Source organism: Homo sapiens, chromosome 14, assembly GCF_000001405.40.
Source record: "Homo sapiens chromosome 14, GRCh38.p14 Primary Assembly".
NCBI lineage: Eukaryota > Metazoa > Chordata > Mammalia > Primates > Hominidae > Homo > Homo sapiens.
The window spans coordinates 66,863,704-66,887,319 of record NC_000014.9 but is presented as its reverse complement, the minus strand read 5'-3'; the positions used below and the strand labels follow the sequence as shown (position 1 = coordinate 66,887,319).

Sequence of the window (23,616 nt, the reverse complement as noted above, 5' to 3'; positions counted from 1 at the left end):
CCATGCCTGGCCAGGTCTCAGTCTTTTAGTGAGGCTTTTAGTGAACTTCACGAGTTTTTCTCAATTTTTCCTCCCCTGTTACATGGGAGAAGATGGCTACAGTGAGCTGAAGTTGGGTATTTCCCTTCCCCTAGGTAAGTTAGTATTTGATTATACTCCAGCAGGGTAGGTTCAGGTTAAGTAGTTTCTCCTCGGGTTAGGGCTCATTAAGAAGAACAGAGTACCCTGGTGTATTTCACAATAGTTCCCTTTCCTCTTCCCTGCTGAAACATGAGGGAATTTTCCTCTAATATTTACTGTGAGAACCTGGTTGTTCCGAAGGACTTGTTCCAGAGATCCCTTAGGTTCCATTCAGTTTTCACAAAATTGTAGCGACTGAGTTTCCCTGAAGTTTTTAACTCTCATAGTTGTCTGCACTGAACCTCTAGCAATTTGTCAATTACAGTTTAGGTTTGCCTACCTGACAGTTTCCCACGCTTATTAGTGTTCATGAGTCTTTGCTCTGGTAAGCCCCTTTCTCCCTCACTCATCCATCTTGAATCCCCATAATGTGTATGCTGGTCTGCTTAATGTTGTTCCATAGGTCCCTTAGGCTCTGTTCAGTTTTCTTCCATCTTTTTTGTTTCTGTTCCTCAGATTTGTTAATTTCAATTGTTTTGCCTTTAAGTTTGCTGATTCTTTTTTCTGCCTGCTGAAAACTGCTTTTGAATCCCACTAATGATTTTTTTTCAGCGATTGTACTTGTCAACTCATTTCTTCATTATTCTTTTTTTTTTCTTCTTTATTTTTTTAAAGGATACATGTTTTTCATCCATAATTCACTGGAACTGCTGCAGGATGCTCATCATGACTTAGAACTCCTGAGTACATTGTCATGATGAACATGTGCAGAGAGATTTACTAGCCTACAATATGAATCTTCACACTCATGGGGGAAAAGTATTTTCTAGTCTGGACTGAATATATTTGCAAGTGTTTTTATAGCTGTTCTCTGTAAATAATCTCAGGGTGGCCTGTTGCTGTCTAATGCTACAAAAAGGGAGGGCTGTTAATAGTGGCCACTTCCTCCTGCATACAGTGGAGAGAAGCCTGATTATGGACAGTCCCATCATGGCCTTAAAAGATGATATTAAACTGATAGGTCATTTTAGCTGCCTGATTGATTCTTTTTTTATGTTTTTAAAATATATTTATTGATATTTACTTTTGCTTACACATCATTATCTTGGCATTATCAATATATTCCTTTAGTTCTTTGAGAATCTTTAAGATAGTTGTTTTAAAGCCTTTGTCTAGTAAGTTCTCCATTTCATCTTCCTCATGGATTTTTGTCAATTTATTGTTTTCATTTGAATGGATCATACTTTTTCTTTGCTTTGTCATTTTATTTTTGTTGAACTCTGAATATTTGAATCTTATAATATGGTAATTCTAGAAATCAGCTTCTCTCCCTTCCCTAGGGTTTGCTTTTTTTTTTTTTTAAATTGTTATAAAGTGTTCTGTGTAAGAAATAAGCCTGAGGTATAAACTTAAGGCCTTTCTCTTTTTCTCAGCCTGCCTTTTCCTCTGGGCATGCATAGTGACTTTCTAAATTCCCCCATATATGTAGCTGCCTTTGAATTTTCTAATCCTGTAATTTCTGGGTCCCAAAAGAGAAGAAGAAAAATGTAGGGGAAAATGTAGGTACTGTCCTTATAAATCCCTTGAAGATACTTCAGCCAGTGTGGGTTGAAACAATGGCAGCCTGTCTTTGCCTCTGCACTTCTACAACCTAAAGCAGTAATCCACAATAGAACCTGGATCCCCAATATTTGGAAGATAAGGTCCTTAATTACCCATTCTGTCTTCTACAAGCTGTCCTATAAACCCTAGTACCTGCTAGCTGGAGCACTGGAGAATGGTTGGCTAGTAGCACACTAGGTTAAAATTGACCCAAATTAACCAAAATCTACTAGTCAAGTCTTTTCCAGTAAGCCATAAGCCTTTGAATAGACTACAAAGTTCCAAAATAGTTATATCAGAGAGATCCTGCCAGTTCAAACGGTTGTCCAGGTGGAGAAACAGATTCCTATATATACTACTCTGCCATCTTATGCTCCCCTACAGACTTTTATAAGCTAAGTATATTTGGTGTGGGTTAAAAAAACAGAAACTCTTTAAGATGATAGTACTGTTACTTTAAATGACTCATGTTACTTTAATATTATCTAAATAATACTAAGAATAATTTGATTCATTTCTATAAAAAATAAGTTTTGTGTTGTTATTTCCTGAAATTTTTCTTTTAACCAATATCAGTTATAAAACCATTTTTGGCAGCAAATGGAAAATATTATCTCCTCCCTAAAAGCAGTGCATGTGTTTATTACAGTTACAGAATTGAAAGATGAGTCACTGAAGATTACAATGGTAAATCTCTTCATACTAAAATGGAAAACTGGCAATCAATTTCTCTTTTTATGAATTAGATATTTCTTATTTTATATATATATATATATATACACACACACATACACACACACACACATATGTGTGAGTAAATCTTTAAAGGACCTCATAACATTTCTATCAGCTATGTAATATCCCTATAAAACTAAGTAGAGATCATAAATCAAATTAATGACAAAACTGAGAATAAAATCCATGACAAATCATTCTTCAGTGTATAACCACAGTGGTTAGTCTGTTGTTTTTAATGAAATTTAGGGGGAAAAAAGAGTATTTGATCTTTTAAAAAAAAACAAGTAGGGAATAAATTATAAATTTAGGGAGGTTAAATGCTACTATTTTGTGGGCAGTTTAGTTAACCACTGGAACAAGATGTGCTAAACCTTGTAAAGTACCAAGGTAACACTGCTAGTAAATGCTAGTAAATATGAAGTCAGGGATCTGGTATTAAAGTTTGAACACTTGTTCTTTGGTGTCAGCCAAGATGGAGAAAGTAACCATAGCTTCTCTCTCCTACCGATTGTTTATAGAGTACACAGTGATTACCTGATGACGTTTAATGTAAATAATAGCAGGCAGATTTGGGACTGAAGTCAGAACTTGAATAACAGCTCTTAATGGGGCTAGGCCTAATTGTGGAGCTGCAATACCATAATGACAGTGTTAGCACCCAAAGCTCAGAGAGAAGACCTACCTATCTCTTTGGCTAATGGAAACAAAAAAAAGGAGCCGATATTGTCTAAAGAACTAAGGTAAGAGGAATCTCTTTCTCTCTTTTTTCTTTTCTTTTGCTCTTTGTCCCAAAGGTCAGTTGTGTACAACTACATAATTGCAAAGGGAGTTAATACTCTGTAAGAAACCTCTTCTGGCCAGAGTAACTGGGAATGGGGTCCCCTGGAAGCTGGAGAGTGAGGGGAAAATTCTTGAAAAGAAGAGAGCTAAAGAAGGTGGATTCTCTAATTTTGGATGTGAATTGACCCAAGTTCCAGGGTCATCCCTGAGCTGTGAATACGTGGGACAGTATAAAATAAGTACAAGAAAAGATTTTAAAACATAAACCTAGTATATACTACTGCCCAAGTCTCAAACTAACTCCTAAATCATTCATGTACTGGGCAGACACTAACAATATAGCAAAGGCTGAGCCACTACCCACAGAAAGTGAGACAGAATTTACAATCTGAACCCAATCAGATCAATTGCTAAAACTAACTAATTAAAATTCCCCAAAGGATTTTAACAGGAGTTAAATAATTTACTTACAATGCAGTGTTCAAAATGTCCAGGATACAATCCAAAATTTCTCAACATAGAACAAGGAAAATTTGACCAGTTCTCATGGGAAAAGAAATCAACCGATGTCAACCCCAAGGTAAGCCAGATATTGAAATTGTCCGAAGAATAATTTTAAGCAGTTATTATAACTATTCTCCATGACATAAAGGGCAATACTTTTGAAATAAATGTAAAAATACAAGTTCTTAGTAGAGAAATGGAAACCATTAACAAAAAAACCAAATGGAGAATTTAGAACTGAAAATATATCTGAAATAAAAACCACTAGATATTCTCAAAGGCAGAATGAAGATGAAAGAGGGGAAAAGTCAGCTAATTTGAAGATAGATCATAGAAATAACCTAAAATTAATACAGAGTAAAAAAGATTTTAAAAATTAACAGAGCCTCAGGGATTTGTGAGACATTACCAAAAAATCTAAAATTCATGTCATAGGAGCAGCAAAAAAAAGGAAATTTCCCAAATTTGGTTAAAGACATAAATTTACAGAATCATAAAGTTCACTGAACCCAGAAGGATAATCTAAAAGAAAACTACACCCAGATACATCATAATCAAATTGCTGAAACTAAAGCTGCAGAAAAAATATCTTCAAAGCAGCCAGAGAAATTTGCCATTACACATAAGGAAACAGCAATTTGAATTGATTGCTCATTTCTTTTCAGGAACCATGGAGCAAAAGAGAGTGGAATCATATTTTATTTTACTTTTTTTTTTTTAATGCTGAAAGAAAAGAACAGTCAACCCAGATTTCTGTATCTAGTGAAAATATCCTTCAGGAGTAATATGGAAATAAAGACATTTCCTAATGAAGAAAAGCTACGAAAAGGTTTCACCAGCAGACCTACTCTAAAAACAAAAACTCTAACGAAACAACCATGGTCATCACTTAAGAGTTACTACGAGTCAGTTTTCTAAGTGCTTTACATAGATTAATTCACTTTATCCAAGAAATTTGGTACTATTAACATCTTTATTATATAGATGAGAAAATGAAAACAAAAAAGACATTAACATAGAACACAAGCAATCTGTCTTCAGAGATGATGTTCTTAACCATTACTTCATAATATCTCCCAACTTACTTATATAAAAAATCTGGAGGATATTAAGTTGTCCAAATAGTAGGAAACCATTTCAAACAGACGTAATGGTTTAAACATTTGTTTTTATCTAATGCTGCTCTCTAGACATAAAAATAGGAAGGTAAGGCACCAACTTGATGCATTAATTTACCTGAAAAAAACATGCTATAGAACTATGGTAAAACACTGATTTATCCATAGTAACTGCAACAATATACATTTTTTGAGTACTTACTATGTGTCAGAATTTGTTTTAGGGGCTGAGGATGTAAAAAAGAATAAGATAAAGCTCCTGTCTTTAAGAAGTTTCTACTAACTAGGTAATACAGACAAGCAAATAATTAATTACAATATACTATGACATGTTCCATAGCAGAAGCATGTACAAAGCCAGAAGTGCATACAAAATAGAAAGGCTGTAGAAAGGAAGAACCAATCTAATGATGGCTATTATAAAAATAATAATTTTTAAAAAGGCTTTGAGAAGCACAAAAAATGAACATTCAGGGAAATATCCCCTTTTCTGTAACTAATGTAAACTACTATGTCTGTTCCAAAGTTTATAAATATATTCTTGGTTAAATCAGCAATGCACAGACAGAAAAGCCAGAAGGTGCTCCCATGCTGCTTATATGTATTAATTTTCAAAGCCTTCAGGATAAAGATGAACAACTCATTCCAAAGTAATTAGAATCAGCTCCTGCTAATTAATTTTCCATTCACTCAGCAGTCCAGTGCTAGGTAATTATGAGGATACAAAAGGGAGAAAAAAATTAATTCAGGAAAACCTTTTGATATAACAAAAAGTGATATTTCTATACTGGATCAAGAAAGCTACATTCAATTTGAAGAATTATCTTAACAGTTGCAAGAAATAATTTCTCCATTTAAACTGTGGGATCCTTAAGGAGAGGACCATTTCTTATTTTTCTTTCTAACCTTAGGATCCCTAATGCTTAATATGGGACTTGGCAAATAAGCATATTATTATGTTTACCGAATTAAAATTTTATTACAAAAGAATTAGCAAGAGAATGAAGTTTAATTCTTTCCTGATGTTATTGCTTGTATACAAGAAAGAGTTCTTTTATGTTTGAAAACTACTACTTAATTCCATAGGAAAAACGGGATCCCCTGACCTCATTGGTGTAGGTAATATAAGTAATGGTTTAAAAAAAGAACACTATGAAAGAATCAACTGGAGTTCCTTAAAGGCCAGCATGAATTTTAGCTTTAGTCTCTATCGTGGTACTTTAATTCTTTATTTGCTTTTACTAAAATTAAATGTTACAGTACACGTGACAGCAAAAAGAACATAGTAACTAATGACCCATTCATAATCTCCTGTATCTGTGCTTCAAGTGGCTGCCACTGATGGGATATAAACTTTGTCTATGTAACAGAAAGAACATTACAACTCATATTCCATAATAGTCAATGGACACATTTAATTTTATATTCATATTACACACAGGATACATAAAGGGCTATAAATTATGAAACCCTGAAACTATACAGCTGCTATTTATTTTTAGGTTGCTCTGAGATCAACTATTAATTAACGTTCATTAAATCCTTCAACAGTTTCTGACTAAGTTGACACTTCTATCTTTAACTTAAGTGATGTAATTGTCCTCATTTAGGGGATCTAAATCTAAGAGTTGCTAAAATAGTAGCAAATAAGTACCATTAAATCGAGGATGGATATCAACATCTATGTCAACAAAGGCATAGTTTTAGGTAGACTAATTTCATATAATAATAGTATATCATTAATGTAATATAATAATTAAAATATACCCAGTTGCCAAGCATTAAAAGATTAACAATATGAATTGAGCTTCTTTTTTTTCACAACAACACATCAACATAGCTATTTATAAATTGGAATATAAGCTCCTAACTTGTGAGAACAAGTTATTTTAATAAACTTGGCAGTTTAGTTTTATTAAATCAGTATTTACCTACAATTAATAGATATCAACTGATGATTATAAACAGTCACAGAAAACAGTAACTTTACATAGTAATAAACTGGATTCTCTGGGTTAGGAATTGATAACTTTTACCAGTAGTAATATGACAGTCTCTGAAAGTTTAACTTAACAAGCAACAACAACAACAACAACAACAACAACAAAAAGAAGTGAAGTGGGAAAATTGTGGCTGACAGAATACTAAAGCTCTTAACTCTGGAAAAAAAAGGGGCAAACTTAAGTGTTAAGACTAAAGTTTCTTAGGTTCATCAATATAGTGTATTGATTAGTGGTATGGAATTAACTTTTTTTTTTAACAATGATAGTAGGTAATATTTATTAAGTGATTAGTATAAGCTAAGAACTTTATGTGGACTAGCTCATTTAATATTCACAACAATGCCAAAGTGTAGATTTTTTTTAATATCACGGAAACAGTTCACCTAGCAAATGGTTTGCAACATGTTGGTGACTTTCTTACCTAGAGAGCATGCCCAGAGGTGTAACATTAAGTGATCCCATCAGCATTGCCAGGGCCATCCCTGGTGCTTCCCGTTCTATTACTTCTTTTGTGGCCTGTAATTAAAGATTAAATAGCAGACTGAGTGAAATAAGCCAAAAAAGAATGAAGTCAGACTAGTAAAACCCACTTAAAAATGATTATAAACCAGGCTTTCAATAACCATACTTTTAGTTTCTGAAACATTTATCTTTTTGAGGCATCCAGACTCAATTCACAAGGACCACTGAATAAAAGCTGAGGACCAAGAAAATAAAGAAAATTTTTATATTAGCAGTCCTTTCATATTGCTTATAGCTCAGAAGTATTTGATAGAAATCTCATCTCACTAATAACTTAAATTCTAAAAATGTGGCCTCAGATTGCTATAACAACTTAGTAGATTTCTCACCAGGTAAGTAATCTGGGTATTTTCCTTTGTCTATTACTCTTGAAATAATTAGTCTCTGAAAACCTGAGATAATCCATATCTCTCCTAGCTCTATGCTTTTATAATAGAATTAAAAGGATCTCAAGAAGTCATCATGTCAGGTTTCCCCATGTACTGGCTAGAGGAAAAATTCTACATTTACCATCTTCCTAATCTTTAGTGTAAATTAACTGTCTTTTTTTTTTCAGATTTCTCCACTTTTTTTTTTTTTAATATACTTTCAGTTCTGGGGTACATGTGCAGAACGTGCAGGTTTGTTACATAGGCGTACACATGGCATGGTGGTTTGCTGCACCCATCAACCCGTCTATATTAGGTATTTCTCCTAATGCCATCTCTCCCCTAACCCTCCATCCCCTGACAGGCCCTGGTGTGTGATGTTTCCCTCTGTGTGTCCATGTGTTCTCATTGTTCAAATCCCACTTATGAGTGAGAACATGTAGTGTTTGGTTTTCTGTTCCTGTGTTAGTTTGCTGAGAATCATGGTTTCCAGCTTCATCCATGTCCCTGCAAAGGACATAAACTCATCCTTTTTTATGGCTGCATAGCATTCCATGGTGTATATGTGCCAAATTTTCTTTATCTAGTCTATAACTGATGGACATTTGGGTTGGTTCCAAGTCTTCGCTATTGTGAATATTGCTGCAATAAACATATGTGTGCATGTGTCTTTAGAATAGGACGATATATAATATTTTGGGTATATACCCAGTAATGGGTCAAATGGTATTTCTGGGTCTAGATCCTTGAGGAATCGCCACACTGTCTTCCACAATGGTTGAATTAATTTACACTCCCACCAACAGTATAAAAGCATTCCTATTTTTCCACATCCCTATCCAGCATCTATGGTTTCCTGACATTTTAATGATCACCATTCTAATTGGCATGAGATGGTATCTCATTGTGGTTTTTGACTTGCATTTTTCTAATGACCAGTGACCCTTAGCTTTTTTACATATGTTTGTTGGCTGCATAACTGTCTTCGTTTTGAGAAGTGTCTGTTCATATCCTTTGCCCACTTTTTGATGGCGTTGTTTTTTTCTTGTAAATTTGTTTAAGTTCTTTATAGATTCTGTATATTAGCCCTTTGTCAGACAGAGACATTGCAAAAATTTTCTCCCATTCTGTAGGTTGTCTGTTCACTCTGATAATCATTTCTTTTGCTGTGCAGAAGCTCTTTAGTTTAATTAGATCCCGTTTGTCAATTTTGGCTTTTGTTGCAATTGCTTTTTGTGTTTTAGTCATGAAGTCTTTGCCCATGTTTGAATGGTATTGCCTGTTTTCTTCTAGGGTTTTTATAGTTTTAGGTCTTACATGTAAGTCTTTAATTCATCTTGAGTTAATTTTTGTATAAGGTGTAAGGAAGGGATCCAGTTTCAGTTTTCTGCATATGGCTAGCCAGTTTTCCCAATACCATTTATTAAATAGAAAATTCTTTCCCCATTGCTTGTTTTTATCAGGTTTATCAAAGAAAAAATGGTTGTAGATGTGTGGTGTTATTTCTGAGGCCTCTGTTCTGTTCCATTGGTCTATATATCTGTTTTGGTACTAGTACCATGCTGTTTTGGTTACTGCAGCCTTGTAGTATAGTTTGAAGTCAGGTAGTGTGATGCCTCCAGCTTTGTTCTTTTTGCTTAGGATTGTCTTGGCTACAAGGGCTCTTTTTGGTTCCATATTAAAGTAGTTTTTTTCTGATTCTGTGAAGAAAGTCAGTGGTAGCTTGATGGGGATAGCATTGAATCTATAAATTCCTTTGGGCAGTATGGCCATTTTCACAATATTGATTCTTCCTATCCATGAGCATGGAATGTTTTTCCATTTGTGTCCTCTCTTATTTCCTTGAGCAGTGGTTTGTAGTTCTCCTTGAAGAGGTCCTTCACATCCCTTGTTAGTCATATTCTAGGCATTTTATTCTCTTTGTAGCAATTGTGAATGGGAGTTCACTCATGATTTGGCTCTCTGTTGGTCTATTATTGTTGTATAAGAATTCTTGTGATTTTTGTGCATTGATTTTGTATCCTGAGACTTTGCTGAAGTTTCTTACCAGCTTAAGGAGATTTTGGGCTGAGACAATGGGGTTTTCAAAATATACAATCATGTCATCTGCAAACAGACAATTTGACTTCCTCTCTTCTTATTTGAATACCCTTTATTTCTTTCTCTTGCCTGATTGCTCTGGCCAGAACTTCCAATACTATGTTGAATAGGAATGGTGAGAGAGGGCATCCTTGTCTAGTGCCAGTTTTCAAAGAGAATGCTTCCAGCTTTTGCCCAATCAGTATGATATTGGCTGTGGGCTTGTCATAAATAGCTCTTATTATTTTGAGATACGTTCCATCAATACCTAGTTTATTGAGAGTTTTTAGCATGAAGTGCCGCTGAATTTTATCGGAGGACTTTTCTGTATCTGTTGAGATAATGATGTGTTTTTTGTCATTGGTTCAGTTTATGTGAGGATTATGTTTACTGATTTGCATATGTGAACCAGCCTTGCATCCCAGGGATGAAGCTGACTTGATTGTGGTGTATAAGCTTTTTGATGTGCTGCTGGATTTGGTTTAGTATTTTATTGAGGATTTATGCATCCATGTTCCTCGGGGATATTGGCCTGAAATTTTTTTTGTTGTGTCTCTCTCAGGTTTCGGTATCAGGATGATGCTGGCCTCGTAGAGTAAGTTAAGGAGGATTCCCTCTTTTTCTGTTGTTTGGAATAGTTTCAGAACAAATGGTACCAGCTCCTGTTTGTACTTCTGGTAGAATTCAGCTGTGAATCTGTCTGGTTCTGGGCTTTTTTTGGTTGGTATGCTATTAATTACTGCCTCAACTTCAGAACTTGTTATTGGTCTAGTCAGGGATTTGACTTCTTCCTGGTTTAGTCTTGGGGGGGTGTATGTGTCCAGGAATTTAACAATTTCTTCTAGATTTTCTAGTTTATTTGCATAGAGGTATTTATAGTATTCACTGATGGTAGTTTGTATTTTGGTGGGATCAGTGTGATATCCCATTTATCATTTTGTATTGTATCTATTTAATTCTTCACTCTTTTCTTCATTAGTCTGGCTAGTGTTCTATCTCTTTTGTTAATCTTTTCAAAAAACCAGCTCTTGGATTCACTGATTTTTTGAAGGTTTTTTGTGTCTCTATCTCCTTCAGTTTTACTCTGATTTTAGTTATTTCTCGTCTTCTGCTAGCTTTTGAATTTGTTTGCTCTTGCTTCTCTAGTTCTTTTAATTGTGATATTAGGGTGTTGATTTTAGATCTTTCCCATTTTCCCCTGTGGGCATTTAGTGCTATGAATTTCCCTGTAAAGAGTGCTTTAGCTGTGTCCCAGAGATTCTGGTTTATTGTGTCTTTGTTCTCATTGGTTTCAAAGAACTTATTTATTTCTGCCTTAATTTTGTTATTTACCCAGTAGTTATTCAGGAGCAGGTTTTTCAGTTTCCATATAATTGTGCGGTTTTGGGTGATTTTCTTAATCCTGAGTTCTAATTTGATTGCACTGTGGTCTGAGAGACTGTTATGATTTCAGTTCTTTTGCATTTGCTGAGGAATGTTTTACTTCCAATTATGTTCTCAATTTTAGAATACGTGTGATGTGGTGCTCAGAAGAATGTACATTCTGTTGATTTGGGGTGGAGAGTTCTGTAGATGTCTATTAGGTCTGCTTGGTCCAGAGCTGAGTGTAAGTCCTAAATATCCTTGTTAATTTTCTGTCTCGTTGATCTGTCTAACATTGACAGTGGGGTGTTAAAGTCTCCCACTATTATTGTGTGGGAGTCTAAGTCTCTTTGCAGGTCTCTAAGAACTTGATTTATGAATCTGGGTGCTCCTGTATTGGGTGCATATATATTTAGGTTAGCTCTTCTTGTTGCGTTGATCCCTTTACCATTATGTAATGCCCTTCTTTGTCTTTTTTGATCTTTGTTGGTTTAAAGTCTGTTTTATCAGAGACTAGGATTGCAACCCCTGCTTTTTTTTGCTTTCCATTTGCTTGCTAAATATTCCTCCATCCCTTTATTTTGAGCCTATGTGTGTCTTTGCACGTGAGATCAGTCTCCTGAATACAGCACATCAATGGGTCTTGATTCTTTATCCAATTTGCCAGTCTGTCTTTTAATTGGGGGCATTTAGCCCATTTACATTTAAGGTTAACATTGTTATGTGTGAATTTGATCCTGTCATCATGATGCTAGCTGGTTATTTTGCCCCTTAGTTGATGCAGTTTCTTCACAGTGTCGATGGTCTTTACAATTAGCTATGTTTTTGCAGTAGCTGGTACCAGTTGTTCCTTCCAATATTCAGTGCTTCCTTCAGGAGCTCTTGTAAGGCAGGCCTGGTGATGACAAATTGTCTCAGCATTTGCTTGTCTGTAAAGGATTTTACTTCTCCTTTGTTTATGAAGCTTAGTTTGGCCAGATATGAAATTCTGAGTTGAAAATTCTTTTCTTTAAGAATGTTGAATATTGGCCACCCACTCTCTTCTGGCTTGTTGGGTTTCTGCCGAGAGATCTGCCATTAGCTTGATGGGCTTCCTTGTGGGTAACCTGACCTTTCTCTCTGGCTGCCCTTACCATTTATTCCTTCATTCCAACGTTGGTGAATCTGATGATTATGTGTCTTGGGGTTGCTCTCCTCAAAGAGTATCTTTGTGGTGTTCTTTGTATTTCCTGAATTTGAATGCTGGCCTGTCTTGCTACGTTGGGGAAGTTCTCTTGGATAATACCCTGAAGAGTGTTTTCCAACTTGGTTCTGTTCTCCCTGTCACTTTCAAGTACAGCAATCAGAAGTAGGTTTGGTCTTTTCACACAGTCCCATATTTCTTGGAGGCTCTGTTCATTCCTTTTCATTCTTTTTTCTTTAATCTTGTCTTCATGCTTTATTTCATTAATTTGATCTTCAATCTCTGAAATTCTTTCTTTGGCTTGATTGATTCGGCTATTGATACTTGTGTATGCTTCATGAAGTTTTCGTGTTGTGTTTCTCAGCTACATCAGGTCATTTATGTTCTTCTCTAAACTGGTTATTCTAGTTACCAATTCCTCTAACCTTTTTTCAAGGTTCTTAGCTTCCTTTCATTGGGTTAGAACATGCTCCTTTAGCTCGGAGGAGTTTTTTATTACCCACCTTCTGAAGCCTACTTCTGTCAATTTGTCAAACTCATTCTCCCTCCAGTTTTGATACCTTGCTGGCGAGGAGTTGTGATCCTTTGGAAGAGAAGATGTGTTCTGGTTTTTGGAATTTTCAGCCTTCTTGTGCTGTTTTTTGGTCATCTTTGTGGATTTATCTACCTTTGCTCTTTGATGTTGGTGACCTTTGGATGGGGTTTCTGTGTGGAAATCCTTTTTGTTGATGTTGATGCTATTCCTCTCTGTTCATTAGTTTTCCTTCTAACAGTCAGGCCTCTCTGCTGCAGGTCTGCTGGAGTTTGCTGGATGTCCACTCTAGACCCTGTTTTCCTGGGTATCACTAGCAAAGGCTGCAGAACAGCAAAGATTGCTGCCAATTCCTTCCTCTGGAAGCTTCGTCCCAGAGCGGCATTCACCTGATGCCAGCCAGAGCTCTCCTGTATGACATGTCTGTCAACCCCTGCTGGGAGGTGTTTCCTAGTCAGGAGGCATGGGGGTCAGGGACCCACTTGAGGATGCAGTCTGTCCCTTAGCAGAGCTTGAGCCCTGTGCTGGGAGATCTGCTGCTCTCTTAGGAGCTGGCAGGAAGGAACTAAGTTTAAGTATGCGCCCACATCCGCCCCTTCCCACAGGTGCTCTGTCCCAGGGAGATGGGAGTTTTATCTATAAGCCCCTGCCTGGGGCTCCTGTCTTTCAGAGATGTCCTGCCCAGAGAGAAGGAATCTAGAGAGGCAGTCTGGCTACAGCAGCTTTGCCACACTGTGGTGGGCTCTGTCCAGTCCGAACTTCCAGCTGCTTTGTTTATGCTGTGAGGGGAAAACTGCCCACTCAAGCGTCAGTAATGGTGGACGCCCCCTCCCCACACCAAGCTGGAGTGCCCCAGGTCGACTTCAGACTGCTGTGCTGGCAATGAGAATTTCACACCAGTGGATCTTAGCTTGCTGGGTTCTGTGTGGGTGGGATCTGCTGAGTTAGACCAATTTGCTCCCTGGCTTCAGCCCCCTTTCCAGGGGAGTTAACAGTTTGTCTCACTGGCATTCCAGGCGCCACTGGGTTATGAAAAAAAACTCTTGCAGCTAGCTTGGTGTCTGCCCAAATGGCCTCCCAGTTTTGTGCTTCAAACCCAGGGTCCTGGTGGTGTGGGCACCCGAGGGAATCTCCTGGTCTGCGGTTTGCAAAGACTGTGGGAAAAGCATAGTATCTGGGCCGGAATGCACAGTTCCTCATGGCTTCCCTTGGCAAGGGGAGGGACTTCCCTGATCCCTAGTGCTTCCTGTGTGAGGCAATGCCTCACCCTGCTTCAGCTCACCCTCCATGGGCTGCACCCACTGTCTAACCAGTCCCAACGATATGAGCCGTGTACCTAGTTGAAAATGCAGCAATCACCTGCCTACTGCGTTGATCTTGCTGGGCGTTGCAGACTGGAGCTGTTCCTATTTGGCCATCTTGCCCAACCGTCTTTTTTAAATAAAAAATTAATGATGTGAAGGGGTTTACCTATATACTAGGAGTTTTAGGATAGGGCACCCTTTTTTTTTTTTTTTTGGGACAAAGTTTTGCTCTTTTTGCCTGGAGTGCAGTGGCACGATCTCGGCTTACTGCAAACTCCGTCTCCCGGGTTCAAGTGTTTCTCCTACCTCAGCCTTCCGAGTAGCTGTGATTACAGGTGCGCACCACCATGCCTGGCTAATTTTGTACTTTTAGTAGAGATGGGGTTTCACCATGTTGGCCAAGCTGGTCTCGAACTCCTGACCTCAGGGTGATCTGCCCACCTCATCCTCCCAAAGTACTGGGATTACAGGCATAAGCCACCATGCCTGGAGGATACGGCATTCTTAAGATAAGTACAGTTAAATCTGGAATACACTAATGAAAGGAAAATTTCATTTTCCTAAAGTCTCCTAAATTTTCCTAAAGACAAGAAAATTTCATTTTTGAAGGGTCAATCAAAATAGGTATATATTTTACTGTATAATGGTCAAGATACATTTTAGGCTAAAACTTGAGGGTGAAATACATGACTTAATCCATTTCCAGTCCTCTGTTTCCAAAAATTAAGCAAGTTATAATAGTTGGAAGCAATACAAAAATAAAGTTTGCAAAATGAAGTATTACAGTAAATAAGTAGAAAGGCAAACAAAAAGTAAATTATGAAGGTATAGAGAGAAAGGTTTATATTTCAATATTTCTTTGAAAGTAGAATGCTACTCTTCAATAAGATTGTAGCTCTGGGCAAAAGCAGTTAAAATGCATCAGGTATGTATTAGATGCTAATTGATGTTATAAATAAAGTTTAGAACGCATATAAATTAGTTAATCCCTTCCAATTATACAGAATACAGGATTAGCAGAATTGATGCAATTTACTGGTACAGTGAATCCTAGCATAACAGGATATTTAACAATGGGAGACATTTTAAAGAAAAACTAACAAAAACGTAAGGACTTTGCTGGCATTATCCCATCTTTTTTTACGTATTTAAATTTTTTTTTAAATTTTACTTTAAGCTCCGGTATACATGTGCAGAATGTGCAGGTTTGTTACATAGGTATATGTGCAATGGTGGTTTGCTGCACCTGTCAACCCGTCATCTAGGTTTTAAGCTCTGCATGTATTAGGTATTTGTCCCAATACCCTCCCTCCCCTTCCCCCTCACCCCGCCGACAGGCCCCAGTGTGTGTTGTTTTCCTCCCTGTGTCCATGTGTTCTCATTGTTCAACTCCCAGTTATGAGTGAGAACATGCAGTGTTTGATTTTCTGTTCCTGTGTTAGTTTGCTGAGAATGATGGCTTCCAGCTTCATCCATGTCATTATCCAATCTTTATTACTTATTTTCCAAAGCCAATCTATCTGTTATGATTTTGAGACTTACCAAGACGAAACACTACTTCTATGTTATAAATTGCTTTATGGAGGTTAACACCTTCTCAAGGATGTTAAAATCAGAGCCCTAAACATCAAGCAAGGGGATGTCACTGTTAACAATATTAAAGGAACTTCTTGGATAGTGTTAATATTTATTTCATTACTTGCTTGAAAAAGTTATATAAGCAATGGTTGACATTTCATGAATTCGGGGCTTCACATAAAGATGATATATCCCAAAGTATAGTAGCACACTTTATTCAGGGACATGAAGGGAAATATCAACAGATAGCTGAAAGGGAGTATTTCACTTAAAATTGATACTTCAAAGCACAACATTTATCCATTTAAATAACGAATATTTATTAAGCATCTACTATGTACTAGGTAGTATCTGAGGTATTGATGTTACAGTAGTGAGTAGAACAAACCTCAGAGAGCGTGTAAGCTCACTGTCACCCAGCACATGAAAAACTCAATTGACAAATGATACGTGAGAATTGCCTAAAAGAGATGTGGTTCATTAATTTTTCTAAATCCTCTAAAACATACCACTGGATTTTGCCAGACCACTGGAGAGTGATCTACTTTGAATGCCTCATTTCACTTTTTATAGAATTGGTTTATTGGGCTTTGCTTCTGTGGTATGAAATCAGAATCAATAAAATGGCTCAAACTCTTATTTACATTAGGAAGCATCTGAATTGTTCACCGTATTACACTGTGGTCTTTAGGAGGACCTACAGGAGAAATTTCCTTTCAAGTATCATAACTAGGAATGGATACTTTTCTATGTTACCAGTTTGTTTTTAAATTACAATGCTTGTGAATCAAGTTATCCTTGAGAACAAATTTGTGAATACCTTTCAGTAGGCTTACTGAACACAACTTTAGTTTCATCTGATTTTTCTCTGTCCTACTCTTCACATTTATATTTTTAAAAATTCTGTTGTATTTATGTATTTGGGTAAGCCATCTAAAATATTTTTCAGGGTATAAAAATATATAGATGGATGGATCACAGTGTAGGTACAGTTGCTCTCCATATTGCTGGTTCAACATCTGTGGATTCAATCAACTGAGGATCGAAAATACAGTAGTTAGGGGTTCTGCAGGGCTGACTGTATTCTTTACAAAGTTCTTCATCTTTCTCTAAACATAATTCAGGCAGGACAGTTAATTCTTTCTGAAGATCTTCTGAAGAATTTGGGCATAGAGACACAAACCTTATATGTTTTAGAACATAAAAGAAAAAATATATCATGGTGATGCCACTGAAAGGCATTGATGCTGATGGTGGTGAGTTGGTTGGGGTAGGTGGATGTCAGACTCTCTATGCTAGATACAAACTGTTCTTTTCAATAGGGTATTCTTAAATCAAGCACAAACACAGTCTTTCTCACGTTTGTATCAAACATTTTACATAAAACATTAGAACCCTTCTATTTTCCTTTTATTTTCTCTTCCTCTTAAGCTGTTTGGTGTAGTAAAAGATCATCATCTATGAAGTCAGAAAATGACATTACACAGTTAAGGGCAATAACAATAGGAGCTGGATCTATTTCAGCATCTAGTTCGGAGCCCAACATATAGTATGTGCTCAACAAATATTTGTTGAATAAAGAAGTGAAGGAATAAATAAACCAATCTAGATGTGAAACTTGGCTTTACTATGTAGTTTTGCTATGTGAATTAGAATAAAATATTTAACCTAAGTTTCCAGAGTACTTATGAATATAATGGAGGTAATAATAAAACATACCTACATCTTATAAGAGGGCTCTGAGAACTAAATGATAAATCACTTAGCATAGAATAGGTATTCAATACATGTTAGCTCTTTCTATGCTTCTACTTTCCAATTCTTCTTACATCCTTGCAGTTCTGCACATATCAGTTAGAGAACAGAAATAATACAAAAATCCAGAAACTACCTGCAAAGAGTAGTAGAGAACCAAAGACTAGGAAAAAGAGAATGGAGAGCAAGAACCCAGATGCAAGAGCACTGGCAAATGCCACGTAGGAAGTAGAATACTGAAATTAGGGATCTAAACTAGGGAGCAGGCAGCGAATGAGATGGGGACTGGAAGATGGACAAGAGAGCAAGAGCTGAGTACAAAGACCTGTAAACTATAAATGGGGAGATGCAACTAGAAAACAAAGAATAAGAGAATAAAACTTAATTACAAATATAACAAGAGAAAGATACCTGTTTATTAGAAAATCTGAACAGAAGAATGGTTTGAAGAATGTAGCTTTATCACTTTCAATCACATATGCTAGTACAATACAGACAAATAAAGGTTATCTGTATCTGTTAATGAATAGATAACACAAGTATTCATTATTAACAGACTGTTCATTATCAATGGCAAAAAGATGCCATTAAAAGCTTGAAACCATTTTTTCCTTAACTAGCTTAAAGTTCTGTTTCCCTCTTATACATTATTAATTTGATTACCAGATTCTTTTATTCCTTGAAAGATGGTAGAAATTTATAGTCTTACTTCAGGTATCAGTATTTCTGAACTAGTCGGTCTAAAATATAAAGGTTTAATTGGACTTAGCTATTCTTTTTAAATAAAATATTTATCTTTGACGTCTAAATATTTTTCCAATATGAAAGTTGCAAACTTCTGTGAAAAATCACATAATTGTGATCTTTTCCTTTTTTTTTCTTGATACTTTGAGGACAACATTAAAGTCAGAAAGACGCTTCAAAGACTGCTAAGCTGTAAAAACAGTGTCAAAAACAATGATTCAGTAATTCAGGTATCTTGTTGATGAAATTGTTCATATTTTAACTTCATAGGAAAAATGACCTTAAAAAAGATATTGCTAACAGACAATGATGTTTAAAAATGTACAGAACATATGGTTGGGCATGGTGGCTCATGCCTGTAATTCCAGCACCTTGGGAAGCCAAGGTGGGCGGATCACTTGAGGTCAGGAGTTTGAGACCAGCCTGGCCAACATGGTGAAACCCTGTCTCTACTAAAAATACAAAAATTAGCCCGGCGTGGTGGCATGCCCCTGTAGTTCCAGCTACTCAAGAGCCTGAGGTAGGAGAATCGCTTGAACCCGGGTTGCAGAGGCTGCAGTGAGCCGAAATCGTGCCATTGAACTCCAGTCTGGGCAACAGAGTGAGACTCTGTCTTAAAAAAACCCGTAAAGAACATATAATAGATATATCTAAATGTGCAGAAATACTTTACATGCATAGTGACTCTGTGAAAAATCACTTAGTATAGTGCTTTCACTTATTTTTATAGACATGATTTTATTAACAGAGCAGACAAATTTATATATTAGTACTCATGTGCTTGTAACCTGATTAGGTAGATTTAATAAAATTTCCTCCTTAACAATTACTGCAGTGCCCTCTGCTGATTAAATAATCTTAAATAAATAACAAAGACTATCTTTGAAATACCAGCTAATGACTACTATTAATAATAACTTTGTTAAGTTATCAAAGTGAGATGTAGTTAGAGCAGTGTTTCTCAAACTTTAGTGTGCATCAGAATCTTCTAGAAGCCTTGTTAAAATACAGATTGCTGGGCCCCACTTCCAGAGATTCTGATTCAGAATGTCTAGGTGCCTCAAAATTTACATTTCTAACAAGTTTCCAGGTGAAAATTTACATTTCTATCAAGTTTCCAGGTGACGCTTCTGATGCTGGTCAGAAGACCATACTTTGAAAAACATACTGCTGATGGAAGGAATGATGTAGATTAATGACAATATGTACCATTTGGTCTTATCTTTATAATCACTTTATGTTCAACTTTGTAGACTGACATAAATGTGAGAATCCTTCATCAGAACAGAATATAGATTTAGTGAGGAGATAAATTAGGTAAAAATAGGCAGTTTAATGCCAGCCAGTTACATTTTCCTGACTTCTGCTTATTAAAGGACAAACACATTAATTTCATTTTACATTTTTAAAAAGGGTTATAATAAACTAACAATTCTGAGGCTGCTCCTATAAGTATTCTATGGTACAGAGTAGGTATCCTTAAAATATTTTTCTTGGGACATCATGTAGTGGATAAAAGTTACATCCACGACAAACTCCCAAGGATGTTCAAGGAGTACTTGTTATAAATCTATTTTTTTCTCATTCAAGAAACAGAGCAGAACGGAAGTAAGAGTCACATTATTGTAAAAGCAGTCTCGAATTTAGTCTAATTAATTAAAACCATTCATTTACAGATTTTATTTTTATTTTAGTTACAAACAACTTTCAAACAATCATAACCACATCAACTTATAATAATACAACCAAATGGTCAAAGACTACTGCTACACAGAGAAGATGCAATCTGGAAATCAAGGTAATTGTAAAAGGCATCTCACTTTTACTTGAGAGATATTATCTTATTGCTAATGAACATCTTTTCTTGGGGTTTTAATATTCTTAAATATTTACATCTTCTTCAATTCCTGGAAGAAGCAGATAACGTTTCATGTGAAGAGAAGATGCTCCATTTTTTTTTTCAGTTCAAATTGTACAATATTTAAATAAGATCTGGTTGTGATGAAAGGTCAAAGGAGACAGTACCATGGTAGGAAGGACACAGGAAGAAAAGAGTACAAATTTACATACTGCAGGCATTTTGTTTTCCATTCCATTCAATGAACATATACTTTGCAGTGAGCATGAAATGGTGTCTGAGTTGGTAGTTTTCACAGTTTACCTCAGTTCCAATGGTTAATGAATTGCTGTGCCAGCTAAGGTTCTAATGTTTAAAGGTAATTATTCCTCTTTATAAAGCATGCCAACCAATTTACCTAATTCAACCAAAGAATTTATTTCAATGCTGGGGTAAAAACTGGTTGTTTGGCTTACTGAGATTAATATGTATTTGAAAGATTTTCAAGTTTTTTTCACTTTAACTATGAAAAATCTCACTGTATTTGCTAACATTTAGATCCCAACCCCTGTTCAAGAACCAACTCAAGTACATAGCAGTGAACACTCGTTAGCATCACAACTTTTCTCTTTACATATTATTTTTCAATAACTTTTATCTAAACATTAATCTGATAATTAAATTATCTAACCATAAAACTTGGGCACTCAGGTGAACAAATCACTTTTTATAAGAGATTTTCATGAGAATACGTATCTTCATATTCCACTTATATAAACAGTACTACTTTGTATCTCATTCCAGGAAAAGATGAAAGAATATTGATATTCCTATGGATTGTTAACATTTTTATATATGGAATATGTATGTATTCGTTAATGGTAGAATATTGGCTAGGTATGTCTTTCAACCTACGTTAAAAAAAAGAGTTACTCATTCCTGTTCTTCAGAAGTTGATATGTAGATATGGAGGAAAAAAGTTCAGGAAATCTAATGCATAATATGGTGACTATAGTTAATAATACTATACACCCTAGGATTGGGATTGTTTTTCAGGTTTGGACAACAGGCAACTGAAAAGTGACTTTATTAGGGCAGCTGGTGGGAGTGGGGTAGAAGAAACTGGTTGTATCTACTGGCACCAACCACACTTAATTACCTGGTCAGAATGGGTAGAAATGACTACCCCCACTAACACACACATACGTAAAAACACTACTGAGACTGCACATTTATACATTTCCTCCTTTGATGCTACCTTGATGTTCAATGTTATGCTTTCAAAGTTATACACTTAAGAGTGTCTCAGGTAATAAAAGAGCCAAGCCAAACTTAAGAATTAATCAACAAAAATTATTTAAAAATTTAGGCTTCCAAAATAAACTTGAAAGATTTTGTAAGCAGGCAATACTATTTTATATTGAGATGATTATGAATAACCTAAACTCAGATCCTCTCTTCCATTTCTTTTCACAGAATAAAAATTAAGTATCCAAGAGAAGAGGGTATTCAAATCAGGAACAATAAATGCGATAGATGGAAACTGACATTTTACTCAACACTGTAATAAGGACATATATAGGCTTCTTCTGTACCTAATCAGGTTTGCTTCTAAGAAAGCACAGAAAACAAAGAAATGCTTCATATCTCTATGAAGAGTATGTTATCTCCTGATCTCTCAGGGTTTTCTTTCCTGGTTTTAATTTTTTTTGTATTAACACAAATTGCCCAGAGACTATCAGACTTTTTGTAATCTTCTTTGAATAATTTAGTTTAAAAAATTTGAAAAATTTTTAATTTTCCTGGGTATGCAGTAGGTACTGCATAAATTTGGGAAGTACATGAGACACTCTGATAAAGGCATGCAATGCATAATAATCACATCATGGTATATGGAATATCCATCCCCTCAAGCATTTATCCTTTGTGTTAGTCAATCCAATTATATTTTTTATTTAAAAATATATAATTAAATTATTATTGACTACAGTCATCCTGTTGTGCTATCCAATACCAGGTTTTACTCATTTTTTTCTAACTACTTTTTATACTTAGTCCCCTTACTTCCCCACTACCATCCTCAGCTGGTAATCATCCTTCTACTATATATCTCCATGCGTTCAGTTGTTTTCATTTTTAGCTCACACAAATGAGTGAGAACATGTGAAGTTTGTCTTTCTGTGCCTGGCTTCACAAACATAATGACCTCCAGTTTCATCCATGTTGTTGGAAATAACAGGTTCTTATTCTTTATATGGCCAAATAGAATTCCATTGTGTAGATGTACATTTTCTTTATCCATTCATCTGCTGATGGACACTTAGGTTGATTCCACACCTTGGCTATTGTGAACAGTGCTGCCAGAAACATGGGAGTGCAGATATTCCTTGGAAATACTGAGTTCCACTTTTTTTTTTTGAGACAGAGTCTCGCTCTGTTGCCCAGACTTGAGTGCAGTGGCACAGTCTCGGCTCACTGCAATCTCCACCCGCTGGGTTTCAGTGATTCTCCTGTCTCAGCCTCCCGAGTAACTGGGATTCCAAGCATGTGCCACCATGCCCGGTTAATTTTTATATTTTTAGTAGAAACAGGGTTTTACCATGTTGGCCAGAATGGTCTTGAACTCCTGACCTCAGGTGATCTGCCTGTCTTGGCCTCCCAAAGTGCTGGGATTACAGGCATGAGCCACCGCACCTGGCCTTGATTTCCATTCTTTTGGGTACATAACCAGCAGTGGGAATGCTGGATCATATGGTAGCTCCATTTTTAGTTTTCCAAGAAACCTCCAAACTGTTCTCCATGGTGGTTGTACTAACTTAACATTCCTACCAATGGTGTACAAGGGTTCCCTTTTCTCTAGTCCTCACCAGTATTTGTTATGCCCTGTCTTTCGGATAAAAGCCATTTAATTGGGGTGAAATGATATCTCATTGTGGTTTTGATTTGTAGTTCTCTGATAATCAATGATGCTGAGTATCTTTTCATAGTCCTGTTTGCCATTTGTACATCTTCTTTTGAGAAATGTCTATTCAGATCTTTTGCCCATTTTTAATTGGATTATTAGATCTTTTTCCTATAGAGTTGTTTGAGCTTCTTACATATTCTGGTTATTAATCCCTCGTCAGGTGGGTAGTTTGCAAATATTTTCTCCTATTCTGTGGGTTCTCTCTTCATTTTGTTGATTGTTCCTTTGCTCTGCAGAAGCTTTTAAATTTGTAATCCCATTTGTCCATTTTTGCTTTGGTTGCTTGTGCTTATGAGATATTACTCAAGAAATTTTTGCACAGACCAATATCCAGGAGAGTTTCCTCAATGTTTTCATGTAATGGTTTCACAGTTTTGAGGTCTTAGATTTAAGTTTTTAATCTACTGTGATTTGATTTTTGTATGGCAAGAGATAGGGGTCTAGTTTCATTCTTCTGCATATAAATATTCAGTTTTCCCAGCACCATTTGTTGAAGAGACTGTCTTTTCCTGAGTGCATGTT

At 36.1% G+C, this 23,616-nt stretch overlaps 1 protein-coding gene across 20 annotated transcripts in view; it reads right to left on the bottom strand.

Annotated features, from left to right (window-relative positions):
* The window catches only part of GPHN (gephyrin), a 1,227,209-nt gene that overhangs the window by 848,036 nt on the left and 355,557 nt on the right, over positions 1 to 23,616 (bottom strand). For all 20 annotated transcript variants that reach the window (XM_047430879.1, XM_011536340.4, XM_017020913.3 and 17 more), the window contains one exon: positions 7,287 to 7,381. In XM_047430879.1, coding sequence (XP_047286835.1) covers positions 7,287 to 7,381 — 95 coding nt within the window. The remainder of the gene's footprint in view (positions 1 to 7,286; positions 7,382 to 23,616) is intronic.